Source organism: Homo sapiens, chromosome 22 (genome assembly GCF_000001405.40).
Source record: "Homo sapiens chromosome 22, GRCh38.p14 Primary Assembly".
Classification (NCBI taxonomy): Eukaryota; Metazoa; Chordata; class Mammalia; order Primates; family Hominidae; genus Homo; species Homo sapiens.
In genome coordinates, this window is record NC_000022.11 from 22,718,139 (window position 1) to 22,731,912 (window position 13,774).

The following is a 13,774-nucleotide window of genomic DNA, read 5'->3' on the forward strand; positions in this document are numbered from 1 at the left end:
GTCGGGAGTGATCCAGTGTAGGCTGAGAGAAAAAAGGTCTTAAAATCAGCCTTGTAGCTGAAACCAAAAACACACAAGATGGTTGGTGTTCTGAGCATCATTAACAAATGATAAATGAAGTTGAACTTTTAAATGTATTGCAAATTTTTATAAAGCAAGTAGATCGTTAAACTCAGAATGCAACAATGGAATAAAGAAGAGAGTTTGAGATGTTTTTAAAATTTATTTATTTATTTATTTATTTTTGAGATGGAGTCTCACTCTGTTGCCAGGCTGGAGTGCAGTGGCACAATCGCGGCTCACTGCAACATCCACCTCCCGGGTTCAAGAAATTCTCCTGCCTCAGCCTCCCAAGTAGCTGGGATTACAAGCTCTCGCCATCATGCCAGGCTAATTTTTGTATTTTTTGTAGAGACATGGTTTCACAATGTTGACCAGGATGGTGTCAATCTCCTGACCTCATGATCCACCCGTCTCGGCCTCCCAAAGTGCTGGGATTACAGGCATGAACTACCGTGCCTGGCTGAGTTTGAGATTTTAACTGTAAGTCCTCCAACTAAGTTGCCATGACAAGAACAGGGATGATGAGAGTGGAAATATGTTATCCTGCAAATTATCGTTTTATGTAAAAGAATATTTTCCCTCTTTTAGGTAAAGGAAGCATCTTCTGGAGCACCTTCTCTCTGACTATCAAAGCACCATTAAGCCACAAATAAACTGTAACATGAAGTAGGAAACAACTGCCCTTTTATATAACCATTGAGAGGTGGCTTTATATGCATACCAAAATGTTGATGCTCAATGCTAAAATTGGATTTAGTAATTTAATATGCCTACAAGAAATTAATTTTCTTTGGATTATATTATTTCTGTGTACGATTTATCTTAGTTAACTTGGAAATATTCTGCTCTAAAAACAACTCTTGTTTTTTGGGTTATATTTTCTGTATCAACTATAGCTCTTTTCCAAATGCTGTCAGAGATAGCCCATGGCTACTGATCACAAAATTCAATTTTATGGCATTTAAATTATTCTATACTCTAAATTATTTTAAAAGTGCACAGATGTGAATTTTTCACATCTGACTCAAAAATGTTGCTGATGTTGACTCACTTTTTTATTTCAATCTTATTGAAGTAGGAGTTTACTTTTCTGGAACCTGGATGATAACAGGAGACTGGAGAGGAAACCCCCCAAATTGTTTTCCTTTAAACCCTCAGGATGAATCATCCTGGATAATCACCCACACTTGATTTGGGTGATATCTAAATGAGAGTTGGGTCTTAGAGTAGGTGCTGAGTTAGTTTAGGACTTGCGCTGTTGGAATGAGTTGAATGTTTTTACAAGTGAGAAAGACATGAGTTTTTTGGAGTCCAGAGGGTGGGGGGTTATTGGCTGAATTAAGTCCCCCAAAATGTATGCATTGAAGCTGTAACACACAATATGTGACTGAAATTGTGCATAGGGTCTTTAAAGAGGTGACTAAGTGAAAATGAAAAAATTAGGGTGGATTCTTCTCAAATTGGACTGATGTCCTCCTAGGAAGAAGAAATTTGCACACACAGAAATGAGGCACCAGAGGTGAGCGTGCAGAGAAAAGACCAGGTGAGGATTCAGCAAGGAGGTAGCAACCTGCAAGCCAAGGAGAGAGTCCTCAGGGGAAACCAAACCCACTACCACCTTTATCTTGGGTTTTCCAGCTTCAGAACTGTGAGAAAATATGTTTCTGCCATTTCGGTCACTAATTCTTTCCTATCTTCTTGTGGGAGCTCTAGCAAAAACAAGAGGGACCCCAAAGACCTTGGATGAGGGAGAAGGAGGAGATGGAGCAGGGTGCAGGAGGCGGTGCAGGAAGGGGCTGGAAGGTCGGGCTCTGAGGTGCATCTCCTGGGTGGAATCTTGACTCCACTCCCTATTGTCTGGAGGACTTGGGAAAAACATTTAACCTCCTAATATTCACTCACTAATAAAGATGGGCTTGAAGCACAAGGCTCCCCATCATCCTATTCTATATTACAAAAGTCTTCTTGAGGTAACACTTGTAAAACTCTCGCTAATGCATCTGGCATGTATTATGGACTCATAAGTAGCCCTTCTGAGTGATCTAGTGATGTGCAGAAAATGGCATTCATGCTGTGTGCACCAGGGGGCACTGTGAGGTTTAGTCTGAGGCCCCTAATGAGTCCAAGCCCCTAGTAATGCTCAAGGGCGAAGAGCCTGACTGTTGCTTCCTATGAGGCCCCTTCTAGTGGGTAAATCTGAAAATGCACTTGGCCCTTCTTCTGATCTTGAGAAATTACTCAGAGAAGGCCATCAGGCTCAGGGCTCAGACAAGAACCAGGACAAATGTTTTAGGGAATGGAGAACAGATTTGCATCCACTGCTCACCAGAGCCACCTAACGACGACACAAGAATAAAGGAAGTAGATTTGCATGAAGAGACTTCCCTTCCTATGATAAGAGAGGCCTGGAGGTTCCTCCTTAGCTGTGGGCTCAGAAGCAGAGTTCTGGGGTGTCTCCACCATGGCCTGGACCCCTCTCTGGCTCACTCTCCTCACTCTTTGCATAGGTGCTGCCTCCCAGGGCTCAACCCCATATTATCATGCTAGCTGTGCCAACCTGGCCCTGAGCTTCGGCTCAACACAGGGAGTAGTGTAGGGTGTGGGACTCTAGGCGTGAAACCCTTATCCTCACCTCTTCTGTCCTCTTTTGCAGGTTCTGTGGTTTCTTCTGAGCTGACTCAGGACCCTGCTGTGTCTGTGGCCTTGGGACAGACAGTCAGGATCACATGCCAAGGAGACAGCCTCAGAAGCTATTATGCAAGCTGGTACCAGCAGAAGCCAGGACAGGCCCCTGTACTTGTCATCTATGGTAAAAACAACCGGCCCTCAGGGATCCCAGACCGATTCTCTGGCTCCAGCTCAGGAAACACAGCTTCCTTGACCATCACTGGGGCTCAGGCGGAAGATGAGGCTGACTATTACTGTAACTCCCGGGACAGCAGTGGTAACCATCTCACATTGACACAGACAGATGGGGAAGTGAGACAGAAACCCCTTCACTATCTGTGTCATCCTCTCTCTCCAGCCCCAGCAGGACTGTGAACAAAGCCATAAACAGGGCTGGCCCAGTTCACCTGCATCTGAGACCTCCAGGCTGCCTTTCCCTCCATTCCTCCAGGTAGGCTCTGCAGAAGGTGGGTCAGGATGATGTGAGGCTTGAAGGACCAGGCTGTTCTGCTGTTGTTTAGACTGAGTGTGCCTTGCCTCAAGATGACCTGAATGGAAGGACCACAAGAAGGAGATGGGCAGCTGTTGAGTGGTCATGATCCCTGGAGTTCCTCTTGTGTGGTGACTGGATCTAACACAATGCCTGTACTTTGTGGCCCAAATGCCCTGGATTATTGGTCTGAACTCCCCATGTTTAACTGAGACCCTCAAGCCCCAGCTCCATGCATCCTGATGTTCTGAACAGGAAAGTCTTTTCTAGTGAGCACTGTGGCATCCCTTGGCATCCCAGCTTCACACAGCAATTCCCCACCAAAAAATGCCTTTGAGTGCAAAGAACGGCTTCATGCAAAGATGTGCCTCCTTCAGAATGTAGTTCAGGAGCAATAACTACCTGATGCCTTAATCCCAAAGCCATATTTTAATTTAGAATGACCTTGAAATGCCTTCTAGCTGAGCAGTCAGTTGTAACACATTCCCAGTCACGCCTCCCACACTTCTTTCCTGACAGTATGTCATGAAACCCTACTGCATGGAATCCTGCCTCTTAGAGTAGGATTCCAGGGATCTCAAAAATTGTTTAGAAATGAACAAAAACAGTCTAGTTGGAAGAGTATCAAAGAGGAGGCAGTTGCACATGCAGAGAACTCTGAGGTCTGCAAATATACATGAACTGATGAGCACTTGTGTGTAAAGAAACACCTCCGAAAGAGAAAAGAACCACGCAAAGACTCTTGAGGGAACACCTCACAGAGCTCACTCCCACACACACCCACCCACGCACTCACAGACACTCACACACTACAGTCACAGAGGAAAGGCCTGACTTACAGGGCATGAGGTTGACTCATCAGAAGAGCTTTGCCTCAGTACTGGGGAAAAAGTCACCCTAGACAAAATGCTGCTCAGGTCTCAACTATGAAAGTGTAAAAGCAAACAGAAAACTCAAACTGTTTTTCTGAACAGTAAAGTAACTTTACTGAATTCAACAATAAAAGACAGAAATAGAGAATGAACTGCAAAAGAATTCTCAACCCAGCAGGAAAAATGCACAATGCCTTCATCCTGTCAATATTTCCTGCAAGGTAACCAGAAAATATATGCTATATCAAACAGAGAAGTGAATCAATCCCAAATGGCAATAAAATTGCACACATGATAGACCTTGTAGGCAAGGATATGAAAGAAATTCTTATAACTCTATTCTATTCTACTTGTTCTTGAGGATATAAGATTGAAAAATCATATTAAGTGGATACATAAAACATATAAAGACAGACGCAAGTTATACTCTTATAAATGATCCATAATATGTCTGCAATAAAAAATACACTGAATGAGACTGATTGCAGATTGGATTCTGTGAAAGAATAGATGAGTGAACTTGAAGATATGGCAATGGCAGCTATTCAAGACGAAGCACAAAAGCGTAAACAGAGTATCAGTGAGTTTTAGGACATCTTCAACTGCCTAAATTGGTATAATGAAAGTCATTAAAGGAGGTAAGATTGGACAGGGAAGAGAAAAGGCAGAAAAACAATTTAAAGGAACAATGACCAAAATTTCCCAAATTTTGTGAAAACTAGAAACCTCCTATTCCAAAAAGTTTAACATGTCCCAAAGACACACACACACACACACACACACACAGAGAGAGAGAGAGAGAGATAGAGAGAGAGAGAGAAAGAGAGAAAGGGAGAGAGAGAGATACAGGTGAACAACAAAATGACAAGAACAAATTTGGTTTTTAAAAATTTTTTTAATTTTAGTGGCTTCATAGTAGGCATATATTTTTATTGGGTACACGAGATGTTTCAAAACAGGCATGCAATGTGAAATAGCCACATTATGGAAAATTCGGTATTCATTCACTCAAGCACTTATCCTTTGTAGTATAAACTATTCAATTACACTCTTTTAGCTTTATAAAATGTACAGTTAAGTTGTTATTGACTATAGTCATCCTGTTGTGCTGTCAAATAGTAGGCCTTATTGATTATTTCTAACTAGTTTTTTCTTACCCAGTAACCATCCCCAGGTAATAGTTGATTTCTTATTAGAAGTAATGCAAGCCTAAATCAGTGGAGTTACATTTAGAAAATATTAAATGAAGAAACTTACTACCCAAAGCAATCTACAAACTCAATGCAATTCCTATCAAAATACCAATGATATTATTCACAGAAATAAAAAATCCTCTAAAATTGGTATAAAACCCTAAAAGACGCTGAATAGCCAAAGCAATACTGAGCAAAAAGAACACAGCTGAAGATATCACACTACTAGAATTAAAATATGCTACAAACTATAGTAACCAAAACAGGAAGTTATTGGCATGCAATCAGACACTGAGACCAATATAACAAAATAGAAAACCCGTAAATAAATCCATATATCTATATATAGCTGACTTTCAACAAAGATGTCAAGAATGTACACTGAGAAAATGGCACAATTTTCAATAAGTGGTGCTGAGAAAACTGGATACCCATCTACAGAACAATGAAACTAGACACTTATCCTCTCCACAAAAAAATATCAACTAAAAATGGATTAAAGGCCCAAATATAACACCCCAAACTATAAAACTACTAGAAGGGAACTTAACATAGGGGAAGAACAAATTCTTTAGGACATTGTTCTAGATAAAAAATTATATGGCCAAGACTTCAAAAGCACAGGCAACAACAAATAATAGAGATATGGGACATCATTAAACTACAAAGTTCCTGAAAAGCAAAGGAAACAATCAACAGAGTAAAGACAACATGTAGAATGAGAGAAAATATTTGCAAACTGTTCACTTGACAAGGGCCTAACATTCAGTGTATGAAAATTTTAAAAAAACTGAAATAACTCATTAGCATAAAAAAACTAATAATATCATTAAAAATGGGCCAAGAATTTGAAGAGACTTTTCTCAATAGAAGATATACAAATGGCCAACAGGCATACGAGAAAAATGTTGAACATCACTAATTAGTGAGGGAATGAGAATCAAAACCCCAGTGAGATACAATCTCACCCTAGCTGGAATGGCTATGATCAAAAAGACAAAAAATGCAAAGCTGGTGAAGGTAGGTGACTTCACATTTCTCTAGTCCGATTCTCTGGGAACAATGAGAGTGCTCTGTCTTTGCTCTCCCTCTAGTAACTATTTTTCACACGCAAAAATATGGACCCTAGTGGGAAATAATGCCTAAGACCACCAACACCTTAATCATTTGTTCATCACACTAGAAATGAAACTGTTTTCCAAATAATATTAACATCTATCTGTGTCTATCGCCATTGTGTCAATGTCTGTGTGATCCTATAACATTTAGAAGGCCTAGAAGAATGCCCTTGCTTTTTGCAATATGAAAATGGCCGATATCATAGATGATATAGATATAGATAGATAGGGGGTTGTATTTTGAAATGTATTTCTCTAAAGGACTTCTTTCACTTCAAATTTGAAATTATTCTTGTTTTAAATGTCACAAATGATAAACCTTATAGAATGATAACACAATTGTATGTGTTATAAAGTCACAGGGTCTATCAAATGATGAACCAATCATTCGGTGTTGAGGTTAGTAGTATTTTTTTTATTTCGATTCTCACTAAATGAGAACACGTTTTGTATTGAGGGGCCATGCCCTAACCATACCACATCGTGGGGTTGCTCAGAGACTGTGAGGTTCTGCCCACACTAAGCCAGAAGGAGAATTTTATTCCTAAGCCAGGATGAGAATTTTATTCCTCACACTGCTCTCTGCACTTGTTTGTATCCCATAATATCCCCCAAAAGTGAGCATGAGAAGTTCATTTTTTAAGCTGCTTGTTCATTCTCTTACATTTAATACATGTACCAAAAATTGTCTTCATTTTTAAAATAAAATGTTATGCTATCTTGTAATCTATAACCCTATAGAATAATCTTGATCCATACACTTTTGCTATCACAAGCAGAACAAGATCCACTTCCTCTCTCTGGGATAAATCCCATGACCGCTGCTCTTTGAGCATTATTTTTCTTAAGTTATTTTTTAAACAGAAATTTATCTGACTTACCTTAACCAAATGTCTTTTCAAAGTAACCGCATTTCTTTTAAGTGAAAAATTAAATAGTTACCTTCTGTTATCAAGAATTATCTGAATACAAAATATTTATTGTTTCAACTTTAGAAGGAATGAAAAACATCTACAGGTTACTAATCTAAAAATGCAGGCTCTGGGTTTCTATGGTGTTAACATGTCTTCCAAATTTTAAGTAACAGGTATTTAAATAACATGAACTTTGTTTTCAAACTTAGAAAATGTTTCAACCTTTTGGCTGGGCATGGTGGCTCAAGTCTATAATCCCAGCAATTTGGAAGGACGAGCTGCGAGTTTTGTCTGATCCCAGGAGCTCAAGACCAGCCTGGGCAACATGATGAAACTCCATCTCTACCAAAAGTTATAAAACTTTGCCAGGCATGGTGGCACTGCCTGTAGTCCCATCTACTCAAGAGACTGAGATGGGAGGATTGCTGGAGCCAGAGAAGTTGAGGCTGCAGAAGGTAAACTGTAGAGGCTAAAACATGATAAATATTTAATTCATCACTTAAAAGAAATGTTGGTTACATTGAAAAGAAATTTGATTAATGTAATTAGATATATTTCTGTTTAAAAAATAATTGAAGTAAGCCCTGTTAGCACCACTGCATTCCAGCCTGGGCAACAGAGCAAAACCTGTTAAAGAAAGAAAGAAAGAAAGAGAAGGAAGGATGAGGAAGGAAGGAAGGAAGGAAGGAAGGAAGGAAGGAAGGAAGGAACGAAGGGGAAAGAAAAAAAGGAAGAAGATATTTCAAGCTTTACAGTACCAGAGCCACTCTGTAATCAATAAGCAACAGGACCAAAACAGAAAGAGATTCTGTAGAACAGTCTAACCAGCGATACAATTATACATTTCTGTTCAGATATCAAAACCATTTTCAATAGTAAATATATGGAATGAACTCCCCACAGAGATCAAGTAGGATGTATGATGTGTGAATGAAATTATGAGTTGAGAGTAGGAAATTTATAAATTTAATCAAACAAATTAAAGCATTATGAGGAAGTTGTACTGCTAATGTATTACTTGGCAAGCTGTTCAGTGGAACACCAAGATATTCTTAAGGAAGTTGCAAATATCTTTTAAAATGTTATCATTGAAGTGGATTTTTAAAAAATGAGGACATGAATACCTTTACAAAGTATTCAGGGATAAAGAGAGAAAAATAAATTTAGATTGTGCATACATATATAAAATTTATTTTAAAAGATAAGCTTGTCTTTTTTATCCCTTAAATAAAAGGAGCAGATATTTAAATTCCTTGTCTTTTATTTTAAAATTTAGAAAATGCTTACAGCTTCCCACACTGAAATTTATACTAAGACAGATAATCTAATCAAGGGATAACAAAATCAAAACAGAATTCTCTTGATGAATCTATTTTCTTGATTTTTAAGTCTCAGTGTGTACTCTATAGTAAAACTATTTATAATTGATTCTGCTGTTTGAAAATATTTACTGATCGTTTATCTTGCACCAAGTGATCTCCAGCTCTGAAGATAGGTCAGTGGGAAAACATACAAAGTTGCCCAGCTTCGTTAAACTTAAATTCTAATGAGGAAAAAAGAAGTAATTAATCAGGGACTTTAAAACAGGAGTGTTGTGATATGGCTTGGAATTCTAACTGCTTCCTGTGCTTGCTGTGTGGAGACTGGATTGAAAAATAGGGCGATAGAAGCTTAAATTCATATAGAATATGGCTAGCCTGTATTTTGAGGGCCCCTGAAATAAGAATGTATAGTAGTTCTCATTATTTCCTCAAGAAATCTGTGCAGTAGAGCTTTGGCCTTGGGAGGGAAGTACTATAGTCACCAAGTGGTGAGGGTGGGAAGGTGAATTTGCAAATACCACTTGGAATGAGTTCACTTTAAAGGTAAAGCTGGCAGGATTTTCATACATGTCAGATCTGAAAAAATGTGTGTGCGTGTGTGTGTGTGTGTTATAGAGAGAGAGAGAGAGAGAGAGTGAAAACCAGACAGATACCGAGAGAGAACGACAGATCTGCAGTGACAGAGAGAATTAAAAGCGGACACCACGAATATTGAGCTCAGAAACTATAAAATGGGAGGTGCCATTAAACAGAATGGGGAAGAGCAAGTTTGAGGAGTATCAGTGGCTCCATGTGGACTTATTGATTTTGACATTCCTAACAGATGTCCAAATGGAGAAGTCAGACAGTGTTGTGCGTAGTCTAGTGTTAAGGTATCAAAGAAAATATCAGGAAATGAGTGACACAAAAATTAGTAAGAAAGCAAAGATAAGAAACATTAGTCAAAGTCCTGAGTCCAGTGGTTATCTAACACCCAAAAAGTAGTAGGCCGGGTGCCGTGGCTCATGCCTGGAATCCCAGCACTTTGGAAGGCCAAGGCGGGCAGATCTCCTGAGGTCGGGAGTTCAAGGCCAGCCTGACCAATATGGAGAAACCCTATCTCTACTAAAAATACAAAATTAGCCGGGTGTGGTGGCTCATGCCTGTAATACCAGCTACTCAGGAGGCTGAGGCAGGAGAATCGCTTGAAGCAGGGAGGTGGAGGGTGTGGTGAGCCGAGATTGCATCATTGAACTCCAGCCTGGGAAACAAGAGCAAAACTTCATCTCAGAAAGAAAAAAAAGTGATAAAGACAAGAAGAAACCAGCAAAAAAGTACTAGGGGTAATTATCAAAAATGTCAAAGGGAAAGTAGGTTAAGTGTTCTGGAATTCTCTCAAAGAAAGTTTTGAAAAAAGGAGGGAGGAAGAGATCAACTGCTTTCAATGCTGCTGATACATAAATTAAGACAAAGGCTGAGGAATTATGCTTCAATTCATCATTTAACGATATGGATATTGTTTGTGCTTTGATAAGAGCAATTTTCTTGGAGTGAGTAGGTGAGAAACCATATTGGAGTGGTTTCTCAAAGGAATGCCTGATCTCTGGATTCTTAAGGAAACTTTTTATTGAACAGTGGAGGCACAAATTGGATTTGTTTTAATTCCGGGGTCGGGACACACTCTAAACATGTGCCTCTGCATGCCTCGCTTATTACAGCTAGGTATCCTAGTATCTTTCAGTAACAGAATAATCACCTGCAAAACCCACACCCATTTAATAGACACGCTTTACAAAGACTGATACTAGAAGTTGTTGGAGAGGATGTGGTTCCACGTAATATCTTATGAGTCACTGATGGGCAAGTAAGCTGGTAAAATGTCTTTGGAAAACTCACTATACCTGCTATACTAAAACATTCAGATACCAAACACCAGAAATTCCATATTGTAATATATTTCTATGAGAAAAAAACAAGAGCCCTGTATTAAAATATAGATTATTATTAAAAATAATCACACTGGGTTTCCTGATTTTTTTATTAGCAAGTCAGTCTCTGCCTGATTCAATAGTACAACCTCTATCTAATATATATATATAGTGTTTTTAATCAACCACTAAGAAAAAGTATTATATTTTATATCAATTCTACATTCAGTGCCGAAACCAGCATTTTGTAGATTCCAGAGATTTGTTGAATAAATAATGAATAACTTAAATAAGTTAATATTTATAGTATCCATATACAAATAATACATCATCTCAGAATACAATAATAACGTTTGTTATGCAGAAAATGATTTCAATCTCAGTTAAAAATATTTTGGGCTTAGGAGTTACTGTCATATATGGATGCTCACATTGTTTTGTTTATACGAAAATGTTTGTAGTTAACGTACGTTTTTGGTACTTAAGCCTTTTGTTCTTGCTGCCATAGCAAATAGTGTGCCTATTAGGAACAAGAACCAGAGGTTTACTTCATCTTAACAGATTTCTTAATAAAATACATGCCATACTGTTTGGTTTAATGCATAAGCAAAGAGTCATTCACTCCGCCATTGCTACGTGTCCCTCCTCTAATACGGCTCCTGAAGATGTTACCGATAGCAGAGGACTTTGTGTTCAACCTAAGCACTTTATAGCCCTTTCACTTTCAACTAAGTATGAGATAAAATAATTCAGCACCAATAAAACAAACACTTCTTAAATACTGACCCTTTTTTTGAGCCTGTTTCACGTTACGCAGCAAGACAGAGTACACTTCTCTTTCCCAGCAAATCAGTGTTGGCACTACACCCTCTACACTCTGAAAACTTGTATTATTGGCTTCCTTAGAAACACAATTTGAGCTTATAATTTAGATGTCATCAAATAATGTACAAAAATATGCTACTTCCTTCCCCTTCACTTCTCTTCTCTTCTCTTCTTATCAGATAATTGTCAGTTGTTTTTTCTCTCCAACTCCTTTCCTCCGACTACTTGATTTTTAAAAGACTTTCTGCACATTTCCAATCTTAGTATTGTAGAGACAAAATGTGTGGTCAAACTGCATATATAGGAAGAGCTGAATTATATGCAAGCATTTTTAAATACACAATTCCTCCTCAGTTTTCTGTGATTATTTCATATAATCAAATGTCTTCCAGATACACATCCCAAACGAGTGGTTGTCAAGCTCTGCTTTGTGGTCTAATTTCATCAGAATTATCCAAAATTCTTATGATAAATACAGATAAATTGACATAACTCCAGATTTATGAAATCAACATTTCCAGAACCCAGGAATATGCATTGAAAAAGTGTATTCCTCAGATGATGCTGACATGATACGGGATCCGAGTTTACAATGCAAGGAAAATTACCTTCCTTGCCCTTCAGCTGACCCTTGTATCCAGAGGTCCTCTTCCCCTTTCATATTCTGCCCTCTCTCCTTCTGCACCTTTCTCCTTTCCTCCCTCCAGTTCTGCTCATCCAGATCCCAAGCCCTCCCCCATGGATTCCCTAAACCTCCCAAATGGTCAGTTGCCACTAAAGTTCCCTCTGTCTCATGAACAAGTTATGTGGGCAAATGTAAAATTTAAGCTTGGACCAAGCTGACTCAAGAGCGGCAATTACAAATTTCCCTAAACCCAGAGGGGACCAGCAAACACTTGTAGAAGATTAGAGATTTCCTGTGAGTGCAAAGGGCTCAGAGTGTCCTGATGCTGTAGACCAAATCTTACTGTCCCCTCCAATTCATGTGTTAAAATCTAATTCCCTATGTGATGGGATTTGGAGGTGAGGCCTTGGAAGGTGATTAAGTGATGAAAGCAGAGAACCCGTGAAGGGGATCAGTGTCCCTATCAAAGGGACGGCTGAGAACTCCTCATCCCTTCTGTCATGTGAGGACACAGTACAAAGATGGCCGTCTATGAACCAGGAAGGAAGCCCTCACCAGACACAAAATGTGCTGACCACTCACTGCTGACTCCAGTGAGTCAGAGGAGCGCAGGCCACATACCTGGGTCTCTGCCTCCATGCCTCCCACAGTGCCCAGGGCTGAGAGCAGAGTGGCAGCTGCTGACTGGGGCTGTGCTGGCCACCTGCTCTCTTCTACCTCTTGCTCAAGCCATGCTTTCAGCCCCATGGCTGAGGCCAGTGGCTAGAGCAGGTGCCATGATGTCAGGCAGCTCCTTAATGGGCTGGTCCTTGGCAGGACCAGGGCAGGGGCAGGAGGGCTCTGCAGCTGCCTCTAGCTCCAGTTCTGTCCCTGAAGGGGGCTCTTCCCCTAGTGCTGGCACTGGCTCATCAGCTGGTGCTGGAAGGTCCTGGATTGCCGCACATTGAGCAGGAGATGAAAAAGAAGAAAGAGTCACCAATGTCAGTCACTTTCCACTGGAATTTCCACACACAGAATCAGCCTCACTGAATTAAAGGAATTCCAGTCCAAAAACACTGCCCCCGCAAAGTCTCCAAAACTACAGGCCCCCCCTCACCATGTGCCTGTGCCTGGAGGAACTCCAGAGGCTCCAGCAGGCCAAGGACAATGCACGGATGTGGCCCGGATGGGATCACCAGTGAGGCCTGGCCTCGTAGGGCCTGCCCAGGGCTGTCCTGTGGTACCTGGGTGCGCCTTCGGCCAGAGGTGCCTGGGGTGAGGAATGAGCCTGCATCGGCATCATGGGAAAAGGCTGTCACTCTGGGCCCTCCTGAAGCAGGAGCCTCAAGATATGCGGATGCAGCATGAGAACATCTTGCTCTCCTGAGCATCTCCCACCAAGGGAACTGGCTGCGGGACTGTCTCTAGGATGTGGGTGCCTGGTTACCAGAATTCTAAGTTCTGTGAGGGTATATCACCAAGGAAGTGAAGTCACTTCTTTAAGGTTCCGTATCCTCAGCCCCTTCCTTCCATAAGACCTACTCAGAACCCCCTGGGCTGCTGGCTGCTCACCCTCCCCCCAGGCCAGATCCTTACCTGTACACAGGTAAGTCCACCCAGGGCCTGCTTGTACACGTGCTCCTGATGTGCACCTGGGACCTAGGAATCCACTTAGGGCCTGTGATCCAACAGGGGCCTAATGTTGTTTAAAAGTAATTTTTATTATTCCTACAGGAAAGAAAAGGCCTTCTAGCAATAAGAAGCACAGTTTCACATCAAAAACATAAAAATGATCAAAA

General features: G+C 40.4%; 1 gene segment (V, D, J or C) and 1 further gene; both read left to right on the forward strand.

Moving 5' to 3' along the window:
- The window catches only part of IGL (immunoglobulin lambda locus), an 896,838-nt gene that overhangs the window by 692,063 nt on the left and 191,001 nt on the right, over positions 1-13,774 (forward strand).
- On the forward strand, positions 2,525-3,017 carry IGLV3-19 (immunoglobulin lambda variable 3-19). The segment is given in 2 exon segments: positions 2,525-2,570; positions 2,717-3,017. Coding segments are annotated over 2 exon segments (347 nt in total).